General features: G+C 39.2%; 1 protein-coding gene across 12 annotated transcripts in view; it reads left to right on the top strand.

Moving 5' to 3' along the window:
- Nucleotides 1-19,970, top strand: part of GLIS3 (GLIS family zinc finger 3) — a 666,339-nt gene that overhangs the window by 475,519 nt on the left and 170,850 nt on the right. The window lies entirely within an intron of this gene.

Here is a 19,970-nt window from a genome sequence, read left to right as displayed (position 1 = left end):
TCCAGAGTCTGGCGCAGTGACCTCAGAAAGAGCTCAGTGAATGTCGAAAGGAATGAAAGAACCAGTGAGTGAATGGTTGAATTGTCCTAGCTCTGCCAGTATTCAGCCCTGTGACATTGGGTAAGCCATTCAAGTCTCTCCAGGTGTGAGTGTGTACATCTGCACTTTGAAGGCATTGGACGAGGTGATTTCTGTACTAGTTTCCTGTGGCTGCCCTAACAAAGTACCCCAAATTGGGTGGCTTAAAACAAATCTATTCTCTTTCAGTTCACAGGCTAGAAGTTTTCAATCAAGTTCATGGGCAGGGCCATGCTTACATTGATGGCTCTAAGGAAAAATCTTTCCTTGCCTCTTCCTAGCTTCTAATCATTGCTGGCAATTCTTGGCATTTCTTGGCTTGTAGCTACATCACTCCAATTTCTGCCTGCATTTTCACATGGCCATCTTTCCTCTGTATGTCTTTGTGTCTCTCCTCTTCTTATAAAAACACCATTCATTTTGCATTAAGGGCCCACCCTACTTCAATATGACCTCCTCTTAACTGATTACATCTGCAGAGACTCTATTTCTAAATAGGGTCAAATTCTGATGTCCCCAGTAGACATGAACTTTGGCAGTGGTAGGGAGGGGGTGGACACCATTTAGCCCAGTACAATTTCTAAGGCCACTTCTCAGTTTTCTGATTCTGTGACTTAACCTTCTGCAGTTCTTTTCTCCCATATTCAAGGCCCCATTCTCTCCACACTGGTTTTAGAAACCTTGTAGGTTTCATTGAGGCCAAATCCAGCCATTGGTTTTGCCACCAGAAAGGCAAGTATCAAAGCTTACTGGCTGAGAGAAAATGTTGAGTTCATGCGGGTTATCTTGATTCTTGGGCCACATGTGAAGCCTCTTCTGCAATTTGTCTGCCTTTCATTTTTCAAGGCTCTCTCAGAATCACGGTGAGCCACGTGGTACCATTGCATGAAGAAGTAAAAGGCACTCCCCTGTCTTTGGGATTTGAGCATTCTTGTGCTGAAATACAACCTGCCCAACTGTACATGAAGGGCCTAGCCTCTCTCAATTCCTGACAAGTGCTACCTGGACTTAATGTTCATGTGCTTTGCCTCGTCCCTTCACAGTTGGATCATCCAGATTTTATCTCCTACCTAGCCTGCCTGTGACAATACTAATTCATGGAGGAGTTCTGCCCCTCAGACTCTATTAACTCAAGACTTCCTCTTGCCACTGAAAGATCAAGCACTGACTGGAAAAGTGAAGAAAAGGTGGCCTAGTACTTTCTACCCAGAGAATAACTTAAGCCAATAATAGTATCTCTTGAGCCCTCCTGTGTTCTACATTTGATAGAGAAGCCAAATGAACACTTAGTGAAGTCCTGCTCTGTGCTAGGCCCTGTATGCAGGCTATAAATGTATAGATGTGTATGCAGATTAGTCTTTTATTCATATTAACTTCTTTAAATGCTACAGTCATATAGAATGAAACAATGAATCTCCAAGGACAGACAATTGATTATATCATAAGAAAGTATACCTTGAATCTTAACATAATTATTACAGCTTCCTTGGATATTGGGAATAAAAGTCACAACAAACCTTTAAAAAAGAAAATATACAAGGAAGACAGAGAGTTTGCTATGGAAGCAGTATTTAAGCTCATAGGCTGTCTAAAAGTCTGTCACGTAAGTCTTTAAGCTGCTTAACGTCTGTAGTGGCTCTTCCTCTGGGAAGTGGATGCACTGGTTTTTGGGAGGTTGGGGATGTGGGATGTCACGGGCCACCAGAGAACCCAAATTTCCTTACAGGCATCACCAACAGCTACACTGTCACAGAGAGCTGAAGATGCCCAAAGGATACCACATTTTTGCTCTATTTCCATATAAGAAACCAGAGACACCTGTAATCCCAGCACTTTGGGAGGCTGAGGCAGGAGGATCACACGAGGTCAGGAGTTTGAGACCAGCCTGGCCAACATGGCAAAACCCCGTCTCTACTTAAAATACAAAAATTAGCTGGGCGTGGTGGCGGGCACCTGTAATCCCAGCTACTCTGGAAACCGAGGCAGGAGAATTACTTGAACCCAGAAGGTTGAGGTTGCAGTGAGCTGAGATTGTGCCGTTGCACTCCAGCCTGGATGATAAGAGCAAAACACTGTCTCAAAAAAAAAAAAAAAAAAAAAAAAGAAAAAGAAAAAAAAGAAACCAGAGATATGTGAAGATCTAAGATGTGAACAAATAGAAGGCAAAGATCAAGAGAGATGGTGGCTAGGGTCCACCGGTCCCCACATTTCCTGGCAGCTCATAAAAGAACATAGTGGTTTTCACAAAAATGTATGGAAGAATGTTTTTACACACTAGTCCAACAGAAACATGAATCACAGTGTCCTCAAGAAATTGCTTGAATATCTAAAAAGCACCAAGGAAAAGTTTATGTGCCCAGTGTCCTTTACAAAATTATTGGAAGGAAGTTAGAAATGATCATTGACTGTTTTTTTTGTGTGTGTGGGTCTATTTTTTTCCCCTGATACAGGTAAAAAAAGACATATAACCATCACCGAAAAGAATCTGGTTTGCTAGATGTTCTATATTGGTTCTTCAAAATGTACATTGACTACTTTTAACCACACTCTTCCAATACCTAATAGAAATTCATCGGTTTGTTTATTCACCAGGCATTTATTGATGTTGCTCATGCCAGGCATTTTGGTGCCTGCTGTAGAGACATCTGAGCTATGGAAAACACTGCCCCATACTTGCATTGTTTGCAGCCTAATGAGTAGGTATGAAGAGGTAATGGGATGGTGGTTTAGCCCCTATACTTAAGAAATTTCTCTGAATAGCACATAGAAAAGTTAGAAGGGGTTTTGTTGTATGTTTTACATTTTTTTCTTTCTTCCCATGATGTTTGTTTTACGGGAAGGCTTTCTGCAAACGGAAGAAAGATCTCAGTGCCTCTAATACCTCCCCCTCCCCTGTCACCTTTCTGACTTCTGATGCCAAAAGTAATCGTTTTTAATGAGAATTCTCAACCATAGCAGTCTGACTTTTGAAAGCAGTGCTGGAAAGAGAGACCAATCTCTTGGCGGGTATGTCAAAACAATAAAAAAAAATGTTAAGAGCAGATATGCCCAGTTTCCCATGAATACCTAGAGTTTCAGGAAGGGTAGAATCAAATGAAAATGAAGTGTCAGAGTAAGGTGTCTGGCCTACCAAAGCAAACTGGCCAGATGAAAGTAATTTACCAAAAATCAATTAGAAAATAAAGATCATAGGGCAACTCCCTCCTATTCAGTGAGGTTAGCTGGACTAGAGACGGAAGGTCCAGGGCAGTTCGCCACTATTCAGCAGGTAGATGGGCTGCCAGGTCTTAGCTCAGGCAGCTTTGTATTCTAGACCCTTTGTGAATGGGCTGCCCGTACATCTCTGTGAATCAATGAGGGTACCGTGCACACCACACAGTCCAACATCTGTTCCCCAAGGCCTTGCTAATAGGACCTAAGACACTCAGGCCACTGAATGCCGAGTGCCTCGTAACAAAACACATTTCTATGTTCTCTTTGTCTTCTGGTCATTTGCTTCTGTTTTCATCTTCCATTTTACCACAAACTCCTTGAGGACAGAGACTCTGCTTCTTACTCACCCTGTTCTCTCCCCTGGGCCTGGCAGATGACTCTTACAAACCCGATTCTCCAGTGCCACACCTCAGCAGCTGCTTGCCACCCTCTTTGTACTCTGCGCACACGTTATTTATTTGAACATCTGCTGTAGCGCTTCCTATGCATAAAACTGGCATGCATTTTGGACTCTGCTTTTACTAAAGGGATTTGCAAATAGGGTGTTTCAGAACCTCAGGATTCTACAAGTATGGGGAATAAAATGTAAGTGAGTGGTCAGTCCATCTACCTCCACTCCCCGCTGAGCTCCTATCCATCTTGAGTAGCTCAATTTTAACCTATTTTCTCTTTTGCAATTTTTTAAAAATAAATGTTCTACTCTAAGTACATCCATACACATGCATGCGTATCTACATACATACCAGTGCGTGATTACTCCCAGGAACATTTTCCTAACGGTAGGACTTTGGAACCTCCATCAGGTTCATGGGTTCATACGTCAGAGTTTGGTGTAGAACACAGGACCCACTCTAGGTATTTGATGCACAAAGAGATTTAGTAAAATTATGCCTTACAGAACTATTAGAAGGGCTGGTGGAGCATGGGACAGGGAAAACTGTATCTGGCTTTCTGAAGATTAGGAGGCTACAGAAATCAAAGGAAAGAGCCACAGATGATCTCAGCCACTTATGACACCAAAGCAGGCGATTTTCACGGGAAAGTCTGGAAGCTGAGGCAAATTTCATGTCTGTTCTTTCACACGGTCCTGCCTGCTATTACCAGAGAGGAATTGTGGCTTCTTCTTCACTTCTGCTTTCCAATTTGTACACAGATGCCTCTCAGTGGTAGACCATAACCTGGAGCCCTGCAGTAAGGGACTTGGAGATATGGAGTATTCCTGGGCTTCTAAAGGGGAGAGGAATGCTAACTCTGGGCCAGTCTGAGGGCTTTGCCTGTAGGAAATAAATTAATATTTGCAACTGTCCTGTAAAGTGATTGATGTTATCATCTTCCCATATTGCAACTGAAAACGCTGAAGCACATCAGGTCGAATAACTTGGCCAAGGTTATATGTCTAGTAAGTGGCAGAGTTGGGATCAAGAGTCCAAGCCATCTGGGACCCAAGCCTGTGCTCTTGACCTCTATACCTGTGGCTCTCCATTGACAGCTATTCTATCTATCTTGTTACCCCTGCCCTCACCCCACCCCGGGGGAGATCCCTGGAGATATTTTTGATTGCCACAACTCGGAGGGTGCTATTAGAGTCTAGTGAGGAGAGGCCAGGGATACTGGCCCCCCGCCACAATGAAGAATTATTTAACCCAAAATGTCAACAGTGCTGACGTAGAGACCCCATGCTCCACACTCTGCTGAGCAGTTTGGCAGAGGAAAACTTGGGAGCAGAAGGGACTATTGAAAGCCCCTACTACTTGAGAGCCTCCTTTGTGTCCTATGACCGGGGCGGCCAGACCCCTCCTCAGACCCTGCCTCTATCTGCATAAGGGACCACTTCTGCATGTGCAGTGAATCCACGTGGACCTGCCCAGGTTGGAGGGCAGGAGGCTTTTCCTGTGCCTGAGGCTGTCAGATCCCTGAATGTTCAGCCCACCGCTCTGGTGGTGCCTGACATTTGTTTCAGATGCACCTTATTGCCTCTTGTTTCTCCTCTTTGCTCTTCTGGAACTGCCATTCTTCTGCCAAACGTAACACAGAGTCTTGGGGAGCATTAGAACAACCTTTGGCTCTAACCATGGCCCCAACCACCTGGCCAGCAGGAATGTGCTGCTGCCTCCTTCCCCCAGTCCCCAGCACGAAACTGGTCCCAGTTCTGCTCTCTGGTGGGAAGTTATGTGGAGGGCTGCAGGTCTCAGGGCCGGGGCCATGGCTGCACCTTGCTGGCCAGCAGGGATGCCGCCCATCTTCTTGAGTGGCAGCTGGCGCCTGTTACACGTGTCCTGGTGGTGTCTCTGTTGGAAATGAGGAGTGATCTGTGCCAGCTGGCTTGTCGGCTGTCACAATAAACAATAAGCATGAACCACCTTGTGTCTGCAGCACAGCTGAGGGGCTGTCTTTGCACACGGGCTGTGCGAGGGAGGTGGGCAGCCTCCTCATGCTCCGTGTGAGCAATTTTCATTCTGTTGTTTTCTCTTGCACATGGCGTTCAGGAACGGCTCTGGAAGGAGAGAGAAAGTGAGCAAGACTGACTCAGTGTTTGAACTTAGATTCTATGACATTAATCTATAAATGCATCATTTTCTTTTGAGTAAGAGAAGAGAAGGAATATCGGAGGGTCAAGTGGATGAGTTGCATGTGTGGCTCCGGTTCAGGAATGCATCTCTCTCATGCACTGCAGAAAGCCAACCTGTGAAGAACACATGCTGTAGTGGAAAGAGCCCTAGGCTGTGAGTTAGGGGACCTGAATTTTACTTCTGACTCTGCTGGGTCAAGTGCATAACCGTGTTATGCACCTCACTTCTCCTCATCTCCATTTCCTCACCTATAAAAGGTGGATGTTGGAACAGAGTCATCTCTAAAGTTTCTTTCAACTCTAAATGTCACTGGCTTTAGAGTTCAATTGGTGGCATTTAGACCAGGGTCAGAAGCCTCCAGATTCCCAGCCTGTGGCTCTTTTTATGTCACAGAATTCACATAAGCAAGCACATGGGGCATGTACTTTGTGAGTTGCTCACAGTCTAGGTGGGGAGATGAATACAGAGTCTTCTGAGAGTCACCAGCTGGCCACAGAAATCAACTTTTGCCCCTCTGTTAAAAGATGTCAAGCTAAGGATAAGGGAACACCTGGAGGTATGTCACCTACACAGAATTCTGCAAGCCCTGCTTTGTTTACCTAGGGGTCTTAGTAGGGGCTGGATTTTGAATGTACACTGGGAGCATTTTGAACAAACACATTCTGTCCTCCTCTTCACTTTGGTGCAGAATGAGGGCAGGGAAAATGGCACTGGCCACTCTGGGACCAGTGTTCTTACTGGGGGCTGATGGATATTTCTGAGCCTGCCTGAGATGCCAGACTTGTCATGGCCAAGCGGTTCAGGGCCACTAAACAAATATAATTTTAGGGCCTACTCTGAGCTAAGCAGGATGTATTGCTGGGACTGTGGAAATGAACCTCAGGGATCTTATAGCATCCCTCTGAGCTGTGTAAAAACTAGGCCAAGCCCACTCTCAGCCACTCTCAGGCCTTTTATGGTCAACAAATATTTCAGGTACTGGGAACATTTGTTAGATAAGTTTAGATAGAATCTAAGAAACTGTGGAATTAAGGCCTTTCTTCAGGCCAGGGGGAGCTTAGGTGCAGAGGGAGTGTGGATATGCAACCCTGGTGTACACAGAGAAGCACACTGACAGAAGACTGGCTTTTGGGCTCAAGGGCCCAAGCTATCTGGAGTGATAAGAGACTGGAGTAACCCCCCCCCCCCAACGCCCACCCACCCCCGCCCGACCTGCCATGGGTATTTGGAGGTAAGCAATAGTCTTACGAATGTCTGTGATTGCTACCCAAGTCCTGATCCTTCCAAAGCAAGAGAGCACATATGTACTTCTTGATTTATGTGCTCCAGATACACTTTCTTTTGTAATTACATTTGTGTGTGTGATCTTTCCTTTATGTATTTCTTATGTGTGTATGTGTGCCCATGTGTGCCTACAAAAATTGGTATATTTCATCAGTTTCTTTTTCAGAGTATCTGAAATTCTACCATCAGATGTGGATTATTTTGGTGTCTTTAGGCTTTTTTCTTAAATTGTTGATGAATCCCCATTGAAATTCCAGCTATCCCTGAGATGGTTAGTACCATATTTCTTTTTTAGCTGACATTTTAGCAAAGATTGATACATCTCTTCCCTGTGGCAGAAAATGGAGAGGAAGACATTCAGAAAGAGGGATGTATCTGGTACCAGGGTAAGGAAGGGGACCTTGAACCAGGAAGAGGGAGAGGGATAAAGAGAGCTTTGGACTTCATTTCCCTCTTCAGCCTGAGGTGTGGGGGCAGAGAAAGATGGGGTAAAAGCTCAGATCTCTACTGTCCAATCAGAAGGAAGGCAGCCAGGGCTTTTTGCTACTTTTCCTAATCCTGATGTCCCCCCTATTTTAGGGGCTTCTGAGGCTGGGCAGCACCAAGCAGGCTCAAGCACGGCTGAACCAAGCACTGTGACCCTGTTGGGTGTTTGGATGTGCAGTGGGTATCCTGGGCTTCTCTCCTATTAGTCTTTTCTTCTAGAAAGATGAGTTGAATTCTTGGTCTCCAGGCTTATTCCTTGTAAACAAGAATTTCCGTGTCAGTCTCAGTAATGCTTAGATCACCAATATATCATCACTTCATTTTGGCCAACAGCAAAATACCTCAATGACATTGTGCCTTGGCTGTAATCTTTGCTTCTTCCCTAGACAGCTTGCATCCAGGACTTTATGAAACATCTGTCACCTTGTAGCATTGCTGAGTACAGCAGCACCGTAGGAGTTTTTGATAGAACCGTTCCTTCATCCTTACATTTAGCTTTTACCATTACGGAAATCTAATAATAAACTCTTAGCTGTACATATTGGTCTTTAGAAGAAAGAGCAGGGTAGTTTTAGAACAAGCCAGCTTGGATTTTAAATCTAAGCTGTATCCATTTCCTGTTAAATAAACTTAGGCAAGTCTTTAAGACCCCTAAACCTCAGTGTTTTCATCTAGTGCATGGAGATGACAGTGCTCTGTTCATAAGATTGGTCTGAGTACTTAATGCATATAAAGGGCTAGGTGTTTGGTCGTCAAGGAACATACCTGCATTCCCTGTCCTTCCTGCACCCCTCACCAGCAAACCATCCTAGGTCCTCAAGTGTTCCTCAACTCAGTGATGTGCTCGGGGCACGACTTCAATTAAATAATGGCATGTTTTTATCATCTGGCCTGCAGCTAAATTATATTCTTGACTAGTTTACCCATTTACTCTATTTTTTAAAAATTTCATATGTATGGTTGTTTGCGATTTAGAAATACTCTAGTTTTTTTTTTTTTTTTTTTTTTTTTGAGACATATGAGTAACGTTAGTTAAAAGCAGTGCTCAGAATAATCTGTAAAAGGAGCTCTCATGCTGTTTACCTGTCAGGCAAGGCAAGGAGCGTGAAAAAGAGAGTTTACAGCAAAGGGCCTAACATTAGAGATCCAGGCAGGAAAACATGCATTCTCCCAAATTATTTTGGCAGCTTTTGTGGAAAGTCCATTGAAAGCAGAGGAGAGAGGAAGGTGGTTTGCGTGTTTCCTTCCCATAATAGCTATGAATTTCAGAGTGAAACAGCAGGTAAGGAAGGGCCTGTGTGGGTCTGTAAAGATGTTATGTCCACATGGCAAATACACTCACATTTCTGTCTATGCTGAACCACTTCAGACTACAGTAGTACTGTAGTAATTCAGCAAATGACTAACAGACAACTGAAGGGAAGGAAATCTCCAGAGAACCCCAGAATAGAATTATTTGCCTAACAAATGTTTTTTCATTCTCTTCTGGGCAAGCCACTCATGTAGATAATTTAAGTATCTTTGATGGCATTATCATTTTCTTTTATATGGATATACCATCATGAATTCATTCTGTTGGCAGATGTTTAGGTTATTTTCAGATTCTTTTGCTATTACAATGTTTGATATTCATGACAACAGCTAGCATGTGTATAATACTTAATAGCGGCTGGCCCAAGTCCTTTACACGTACAATTAATTTGGTCCTTTCAACAAACCTATGCAGTAGGTGCTATTCTTATCCCCACTTTATTGATGATCAAACTGAGACTAGAGGTCCAGTAGGCCAAAGGTCACAATTAGAAAGTGGTAGAATCAGAATTTGAACTCATGCAGTTTAGCTCCTAGGGCCATGTTCTTAGCTATGTGCTACTCTGCCTCCTATTAGCCCCCTGTGAGTATGAATATACATGTATCTATGGATGTGTGCATGATGTATGTATATAAACATATCTATGTATATGCATCCATGCACACATGAATGAATGAATGGCAGGACATACTCTTATTGTCTAACAACAGGTTAAGTTTATAACAGTGGGATTGTTAGACAAAGAGTATGCACATTTCAAATTTTGATAAGCATTGCCAAATTGCCTGCCCTATTCCACCTTCCAAAACAGAAAACACCAATTTACTCTCTTACAACAGTTATTTCAAGACATTTTGGGTGCCTCAAAGAATACCAAATGCAGAAATGACACAAATGTGGGAAAGTGGGAGCTGTAGTTTGAATGTTTTTGATGACAGTTCAGAACAGAATGGAGAATTCACCACTGGGGGCATCAGGATTCAGGGGCCTAGATTCCTGCCTGTGAATTGAGGAGCTGTAGAATTTAATCCTACTTTGGCTTCGCTATGCTTCATTGGGAAGGTTACTTCTTTATTCAATTACATTTTAAATGTATGCCATTGTTGAAACAATATATAATAGAGCCAAGACTCAAATATAAGTATATTTAAAAGTCCATATTCTAAAGTTTACTAAATTGAGATCACTATTAAGTATCTCACAGGGTCGTTGAAAGGATTAAATAGGTTAACTTCTGTAAGGACCACACAGTATATCTTCTCAGTAAATGTTAGTCTCCATCTGTTTCAGTGTTCTATGAAACTTTAGGGCTAATAAGCAGTACCCCCATTTCCATTGTATCCCCTAAACCAAGAGAGCTGCTCAGTGGCCTGGCCCTGGATATGCCATAGAGATGCTCAGTGATGCCAAACTTCTCCAAATTGCCCTTTTCTTTTTTCTTGTAGATCAACATTCCCAGTTGCTTGCCAACTGTTTGAGGTGATTTCACACAACAGTATCTGGCTGGATCCTCCTTTCATCCCATCACCTTTTGGATGACTTTGCTACTAGCTGTTAACTCGTTCCCCAGCCTCATCATCAAAAACATTTTTTTGGTATTTGTAGAGGGATTTAGGTGATTCATGTATTAAACTCCTTCCCTGGCCCCATCACTTCCATCCAATCTGTTATTTTCTTTACTGAGAACGGTCCTTCTCTATTGACCTACCAAATATCAAGGAGTCTTTTTCTTGTTTACCTCCCTTGGTCTGGTCATCAATCAGTCAACTGATAAAAAGGAGTTGTTTTCCTCATATTTTTAATTCATTCCCTTGTTCCTCCAAAAGAACTTGCAATTCCCTTTTCGTAACCTTTAACATATCATATTTATTTGTTCATGTCTGTTACTTGAATAAGAATCTGAAATTCACAAGGACAAGAACTGTGGTTTCCCTTTGCCCCAGTTTCTAACACTTTACCTGACATGGAGTAAGTAGTTGATACAGGTTGTTTATTTCAGCTTCTGAATGTTTTGGTGCACTGGGGCATCATAATAATAGTCATCGTAAGTGGAATGTACTAATGAAAAAGCCCTTTTAAGATCTCTGCCTTAACCACGAAAGATTTACCAAATAAATTTAACAAATCTCAAATCTCATAGGGTAATCCATGATACAAGCACCAAAGAAAGAATTTTAGAAAGTTGCAAGAGTAAGCGTCTGTCTTCATTGACACTTATTTCCATGAGACAGCTCACCATCATCCAGATGACTGTCCTGGGAACTTTATTATGTGGATTCTCCAGCTCCCTGGAGCACCTTATTTGGAACCAGTGAATGAAGCTTCTTTTAGCAATTCTTTGAGCTACTTTGGTATTCAAATGTGCAGAATGGTGATGGAGAGACTTAGAGACACTCAAAACATTGAGCAAGATGTTAGAAGGAATCGTTGGAAGCTTGGAACTGTCAACCTGATTCTCATCACGGTTCTTCAGTGTGTATTTATAGCATGCAATTCTATAAGATTGAGACAATTAAGGGGGATGCCACTCTATTCTTAAGCATTTCTTTTTCAATTTGTCGTTTGGTAAGAGGGACTCAAGTTCAGGTTTAAATTCCTTCCTTCCTTCTCTCCCTATTCTGTCTCCTACCTCTATCTCTGTCCTCTTTCTCTTTTTAAAATATATATAGCAATGTTTATAACTGTGCTATGGAGAATTCTGTTATATACTTTCTTAAGCCTCAGTGGTCCAGTTTCTTGTGGTATAATGGGGGCTACCAGAGAAAGATAGTATGTTAAATTTTTAAAACAGAGATGGGATCTTGCTATGTTGCCCAGGCTGGTCTCAGACTCCTGGGCCCAAGTGATCCTCCTGCCTCAGCCTCCTAAAGTACTGGGATTACAGGCATGAGCCACTGTGCTCAGCCTATATATAAAACTTTTGAAAAGTAGTATATTAAATTAGAAATACTTGCAGCTTCAGGTAACACCAAACCATACTACAGTGGATTAAACAAATATTGTTCTCACAAAACCGGATGTTTCCAGAAGTATGCAACTATGGCTTTAGCTCAGTGACTTAGCAGTATCAGAGCCATGTCGTTGTGGATCTCTTGACCTTTGCCTCATGGTTGTGACAGCTATTGCAGTTCTAACCATCACGCTCATATTTAAAGCAGGAAGACAGAGAAATGGTAACATCGGTGATAACTTCCCTTTTCACCAGGGAAACAAAAGTTTTCCTCAGACATTTTCTTTCTCCCAGCAGACATCCATGTATGCCTCATGTTTCCAGAACTGGGTTATATTGCCATCCCCAGTTGCTAGGAGGGATTGGAAAGTGTTTGCCTTTCCAGCCACTGCAGAATGAGGCAGCAAGACAGAATGAGTGGGGAATGACTTTAGGTGACCAATCAATAGCCTCTGTCACAGGTGAAAAACAAGTATCAGGTTAATACAAATCAGAGTATAAAGGATTACCAATGAGGCATGAAGATAGTTTCAAATATGAGAGAACTGAGTATTATGTAGGGCCTAGAACAATGCTGGAGCAAGATAATGCAAGCAGGGGTAAAGCCTACTCAGTAGGTGAATTAGTTTTCTATTGCTGCTGTAACAAATTATCACACATTTAGTGGCTTCAAATAACACAAATTTATTGTCTTAACATATCTGGAGATCAGGAGTCGGAAATGAATTTTACTGGACTTACTGGATGAAAGTCAGAAGGTTCCTTCTGGAGGCTCTGAAGGAAGAATCTGTTTCCTTGACTTTTTCAGCTTCTAGAGGCCGCCTGCATTCCTTGGCTTGTGACCTCTTACTCATGTCACTCCAACCTCTTGCTTCCATTGTCACATCTCCTACTACTCAATGATCTTCCTATCTTTGTCTTATAAAGACCCTTGTGGTTGAATTGGGCTCACCCAAATAATCTGGGATAATGATAATCTGTCCATATCAGAAATCCTTAATTTAATCACAGCTGCCACGTACTTTTTACCATGTAATGCAACATATCCACAGAGTCTGGGCATAGGAAGTGGACGTTATTAGAGGGGCCACTGTTTATAGTATCACAGTGGGACTAGTGAGAACCACCCAGGCAGGCCAGAATAAGATGTATATGGGAGAATGCTAGTATTAATACATTTGTCCCACCAAAGGATAGAGACCAGTTTGGGAACAATGAAGATGTATCCAGATGGCATAACCACATTGTACAGATGATCATTACTTGCTGTCCTGTATTTGGTTTATTGAAAGCTGGTATCTGCAAAATGCATCATTGAAAGTATTCCTTGGCATGTCATATTCATAAATGGCAGATATGATGACTGACTGCTTACTTAGATGCCTGAAGCTACTTAGAAATTAAAAATTTTAAGAGAAGGCTTAATTTGAAATCTTCCTTGGGAATTTTTTTCCTTTTAAAGAAAATGAACAGTAAGTAAACACGTTTACAAACACAGCTTTACGTGGGAGAGACCAAAAAGGAATACTTTCATTAACATTTTCCATTAATACAACTTGTCTTGTGTTATTGTTTGATATTGTGTGGTATAATGAACCTGAATTTTAATTGGTTGCCTAAATTTATTTGTCTCTGGAAATTCTATGAGAATAATTAAAATACACCCATTAAGATAAACATTTGGTGCTTTTTCCTTAGGTAAACTTTAGTCTTTGACAGGCATATACAATTTATAGCCTTAAAAAATAATGGATAAAAGCCATTGAAAGCATGATTCATTGCCAAAAGATTTTTTTTGAATAAGAAACTGGTAATTATTCTTTCTCTCTTAATTTGTTCATTTATTCGTCAGATATAATTTAAGTATATGTAACATGCCAGGGATTGTAATAAGCATGAAGAACACTGACATGACTATGACTAGATTGCAAGCTGTTTGAGGGTAGGAAGTAGGGCTTACTCGTGGTAAATTTAGTGCCTGGCACAGTGCATGACATAAAATTAACACACGGGAAATGTTGGTTTAACTGAGCTGAAAACACAGCTCCTGGCTACAAAAATCTCACAGGCAAAGGAGGGGAGACAATATAAATAGAAAAATTGGCATATAGCTTTGTGAAAGTACAGAGGAGAGAGTGACCATCAGAATAATCAGGGAAGACTCCACTGAGGAGCTGGCATTTTGCTGATTTTGGAAGTGTAGGAACTGGCCAGATTGAGACAGGAGGAGCACATGCCTGGCAGAGGAAGCTGCAGGTACATAGCTCAGCTATGGGCTTGGGCATCTGATAATTCAGTGTGTCACTAGAATGCAGGTGAGCGGCAGGGAGGAAGCTGCAAAGGTAACTGGAGGGCTGATGGGGAAGATTCTAGTTTGCCTTGCTGGAAGTTAGATTTTGTCCTGTAAGCAGCAGGGGGCCACTAGAAGCTTTTAGGCAGAGGACTAAGAAAATAACCTTTTCTTTTTCTTTAAACGAGCTTTGGGTGTAGATATTTTCTACCCTCTGGTAGATAAATGTATTTTACCTACCAGAGTGAATATAACATATATTTTTTAAGTAAGAATAATAAATAAAATAACACTGATGAATCCAACATCCAATTTCAGAGACAGATGATTCTTGATCTGTTAGAATCTCTGTGTCTCTTTCCTCTCCCTCCTCTCCTTAGAAGACATTACTACTTTAATTTTCATTTTGTATTAAGAATTTTCTTGCTTTTCCTTAAAGTTTTACCACACATATAGGCATCCTTAAAAATACATTGTTTGGTTTTGCCTGCTTTTGAAGTGTATATAATAGGATCCTACTAAATATATTTCTTCTGTGATTTCCTTTCATCACTCAGCATTGTTTTCAAGAGTTATCCATGTTGATGTGTGAATCTACGTATGGATCATTGATTTTTTACAGCTTTGGAATATTTGTCAAGTAATTATACCAAATTTTATTATTCATTTAACCATCATGGATATTTGGATTTTTTCAAGCTTTTTCTTATTCTGAGTAACATTGTTCTGATCACTTCTATACTTGTTTACTGGAAGCATATGTACGAGAGTTTCCCTTGGAGAGAAATCACCCTTTTATACCTTTTTCGTATATTAATGGTTCTGTTTATGGGACCCCTATTCTTTTCCATTTCTCTATTTTTCTATCCCCACACTTAAATGTTGCATTGCGTAATTACTATGTTTTATTATTTGATGGGGCAAGTCCCCCAGCTCTGTTCTTCTTTAAACCTGACTTGGCTGTTCTTAGCTGTTAATTCTTCCATATTCATTTCAGGATAAGCTCATTAAGGTCCTTGAAAAATCCTGTTAAGATTTTGGTTAGAATTTATTAAATATGTAGATCAATTATAGAATCATTAACATGTTTACAATAGTGACTTTTCCTGTTGAATATGCTGTCCATGAATATGCTTTGTCTCTTAATTATTATCTTTGTTAATGTCTTTCAATGAACATTTATACATTTATTATTTAAAAATCTCATACAATTTTTGTTAGTATTTCCCCCCATGGTATATTATAAATTTTCATTATTGTTTTATACATGGTAACTTTTAAAAATTAAATATTAAACTCTTCATTGCTGGTGCATAGAAATGCAACCTTTCTTTTAAAAAAGCACTCTTGGAGAATCTGGAAAAACAAGCATTCAGACTCATTGCTGGTGAGAATGCAAAATGATTAAAACTTCCATGGAGGGAAATTGCATGCAAATCTGTATCTTTCCAGCTAACAATTTCACTTTTAAAGGTTTACCTTGATGAAACACCTCTACAAATATGAAACAACAGCACTATCAGTTATTTGTTGTAGTAGTCTTTGTAACAGCAACATATTGAAAACTCAAATCTGCGACTATAGAGATTGGTTCAATTACCATGGCATAGCCATACAGTTGAATACTATGAAGCTGTAAAATTATGAGGAATATTTCTATAAGCTGATGTGGTGCGATATCTAGGATAATTGTTAAATGGAAATAAGCAAGGTACAAAAGAGTATGTATTTTATACCACCTTTTTTTATAGAAAGAAAGGGAAGTAACTTTATGTATGCATGTGCTTATGTCTTGGTATTTATTTGCTTAATTTTGCAAAAAGAAGTACAGGATAGATAAGCCAGAAGGTAATAAAAAGGTTGACTAGATGGTGTCAGTGGTAATTGTATTGAAAGTGATAATGATTGGAGAATACCTACTTAAATAGTTTCGACTTTTGAACCAATATATTTTAATAAAATATTATTTTATTAAAATATTATTAATATTTAATATTATTTTTAATAAACATAAAATTAAAACCATAAAGGATAAAAAGTAGTAAACCTTAAAACTGAATGGAAACAGAAAGAAAAGAATTCTAACTGTATATCAAATAGATTACATAGCCACAGAGCAATTAATTAATTCACACTATTTTTAAGCATAGTGCTCTGAATATATATTTTTGTGGGACAAATTTTAAGGACAAAAAATCTGCAAAGAAATCTTAAACTCTACTTACTAGGTTTATTGTTAGTGTTAGTATTTATATTGTAATTATTAAAAATAAATACAGTAGTATATAGTAGGTAAGTACATTATTGTAATTCTAAACCACAATTTTTACTATAAAAGAGGTGTAAATATAAAGGTAAGAAAAACTCTGTGATATATTTGAATTGACTCTATTAAATGAATTGGTGATTTCAGATAATATATTTCCTAGCTCTGTGCATTGAAGGCGTCTGGAGAATGACACCTCATTAACAATATACACATTCAGCACTAATGTCTTGATTTCTAAGTACCGTTTTCTACCCAAAGGAAACAGTACTTTTTATACAAATGGCTACTTCCAGATCTGGATTAGGGAAAGACTAAGATGAGTCTAGATCATCTTTTTGGAGCAGAAAGCAAGGAGATGCTCAAAGAGTAATGGGAATCATGTCATAGAGATGCTTGAGCTGGCCTAAAGGGATTTCCACAGTCATGTAAGGCAATTTAAGCACCAAAAAGAACAGTGACAATAATGGATTATCACATAATGATAAAAAAGAAATGAATGAAGCTTCTTCAAACTCTTAATTCTGATAATTTGCATTTTCTGTAGGGGTTTTATGTATAAGATTATATAATCTATATGCATTTATTTTTATGGCTTTTTTTTCTAATCCTGATATATTTTATTTCTTTTCTTTATCTTATTGTATAAACTAGAACTTCCAAGGTGATGCTGAATAGAAATGCTCATAGCATAACTCTTTTTCTTATTCCTATTTCCTTTAAAGACATTTAGAGAAATATTTCCCCACTAAGTTTGATGTTTGCTACATATTTTTAACAGGTTAACAAGTTCCTTTATGCTTAGTTTGCTATTTTTTTTTATTCCTGCAGAGATAGTCATATGATTTTCTCCTTGATTTCTCAGTGGCATGATCAATGAATCTTACTTTCCTAGAAAAACGTTCAACTTGGTCATGATGTATATATTTTTAACATATATATTGAATGAGTTAATTTGCCCATATTTTTCTTAAGATTTTGGCAGTATAGTCATGAGTGAGGATCGCATAAAATGTTCATTTCTTGTCCCATTTCTATTTTCTGATAGATTTTATGTAAATTAGAGCTTTTCTGTTTATTGAATGTTACAACTCAACTTTTATTTTATTTTATTTTATTTTATTTTTATTTTTATTGTTTTCTTGAGACGGAATTTCGAGTTTCACTCTTCTTGCCCAGGCTGGGGTGCAATGCAGCGATCTCGGCTTACCTCAACCTCCGCCTCCTGAGTTCAAGCGATTCTCCGGCCTCAGCCTCCCGAGTAGCTGGGATTACAGGCATGCACCACCACGCCCAGCTAATTTTGTATTTTTAGTAGAGACGGGGTTTTTCCATGTTGGTCAGGCTGGTCTTGAACTCCAACCTCAGGTGATCTGCCTGCCTTGGCCTCCCAAAGTGCTGGGATTACAGGCGTGAGCCACCGCGCCCGGCCGCAACTCAATTTTTAAGGTGTCTAGGCCATGTAGGAAGATTTTAAATTTCGGATTCAATAGTTTTAGTGATTATGGTATTATTTAAGATGTATTTTTTCTCCTTAAGCGTTCTATGGTAATTTGTATTATTCTAGACACTTATCATTTGTCATCTCAGTTTACAAATTTATTGACATACATTTATTTACCTTTTTAATCTCTGCTGCATCTGAAATTATATCACCCTTTCATTCCTATTATTATTAACACATGTCATCTTTCTTTTTCTTTATTAGCCTAGGCAGCAATTTGTTAACTTTATTATTCTTCTAAAAAAACCAATGTTGGACTTCATTCATTCTCTATGTTGGGTCTTTGTTTTCAGTTTTGTTAATTTATTTTCTTATCTTTGTTATTTCTTCCTTCTACTATTTCAGGTTAGTTTTGCAGTTTTTTTCCTAACTCCTAAGTAAACAATTTTTTATTTGCTACCATAACCATATCAGGTTATGAATTTCCTTTGAAAAACTGCTTTAGCTGCATCCTACAAGTTTTGACATTTCAACATGCACTTTTAATGTAACAGAAAGTAAAGTTAATCAGTATCTTTACCTTTATCCCAAACAACACTTTAACTCAATTCACACCACACCAGAATGTCACCCCATCCTCCAGAATCTATCTATCTATTTTGATCTCACAAATTAAACCTTAGTGTTATTATTTTCATGGTGAATATTTGACTTGCCCATATTTTTCTGTTTTCTCTGGTCTCTGTTCTTTGTTTTATATCTGAACTTACTTCTGAGATATTTTTTCTTTTTTCTGAAGGACATCTTTTAGAAGTTCCTTTAGTGAGGATCTGTCAGTTTTTATTTTTCTGAAAGCATTTTTATTTCATTCTTGCTCTTGAAAGGTATGTGTAAATTGCATGCAATTTTGATAGACAGTTACTTCTCACAGCATTTTGAAGATATGATTCCTCCTGATGTTGCTGTTGAGTGTAATTGTCATTATTTTTTTAAGTAATCTGACTTTTCTTTTAGGCTGCATTTAAGGTCACCCTTTTATCTTTTTTTTTGCTACAGTGAACTTGTTTTTATTAGTCTTGCTTAGAATTTATTAAGATTCCTAAAACCTAAAATTATTGTGTCTTTTTGAATTCAGGAAAGTTCTTATTCATTCTTTTTCAAAATGTTGCCATTCCTCCATCACTGTATTATCACCTCCTGGAACTCTGATTTAGCAGGCTATTATGTGTTTTATATCTACCTTCTGTGCCTTTTAAACTGTCCTTCATATTTTTTTCTCACTTTGTCTCTTTGCTGCATTCCACTTAATTTATACACAACCATTTTCAAAGTCGCTAAGTCTCTCTTTAGCTGTGTCTTCTCCACTGTTTAATTCATAAGTGAAGCTTTTTTTAAATAATTACATTTTTAATTTTTAGAAGTAGATTTTATTTTTTAAAACTTCTTGGTCAATTTTCACAGCCTCTTGTTTCTTTGTTATGCATTCATTTTTCTTTTTTAAAAAAATTTATTTATACTTATATATCTGATATTTCCATACTTACACATAGCTGATCATCTTTTCAGTTATTTTCTACACTGTGTTTTCTACTGGCTGTTTCTGCTATTATTCACGGTAGTAGTTTTTAGTATAAGCTGCCATTCTTTAGAACCTTATCTTTGGAAATTCCTTGAGACCTAGGTTTAGATGCATTCTTCCATGGAGTAGTTGTCATTGTTGCTACCTGAAGCCTAGAGACTATATTAACTCTATATGAATTTAAACTAAAATATCAGTTTTTGAGTGTTTTGGACCACATGAGAAACATGAATTCAGGATTCAAACCCAGGTTTTCTGGTTAAAAATCCTTAAGAGACTCATTTTTCCCTTCCCCACCAAGAGCCAAGACGTCTTTGCCAACTGCCTCACTCTGTAGGTCAGGTTTGGTTTTGCTCCTCCCAGTTTATTTGCTGACTTTGTTGCCATGTAGAAGTTCTTGCTTTGTGAATGTGGATGTCTGTTTAAACTCAGATCCAAATCTAGACCCATACTTTGATTCTTCTCAACTGGCCCCTTAGAAGCCAAGCTCTAGGGTAC

Source organism: Homo sapiens, chromosome 9 (genome assembly GCF_000001405.40).
Source record: "Homo sapiens chromosome 9, GRCh38.p14 Primary Assembly".
NCBI classification, from domain to species: domain Eukaryota; kingdom Metazoa; phylum Chordata; class Mammalia; order Primates; family Hominidae; genus Homo; species Homo sapiens.
The sequence above is the reverse complement of the archived record's forward strand: the minus strand, read 5'-3'. Positions and strand labels throughout refer to the sequence as shown.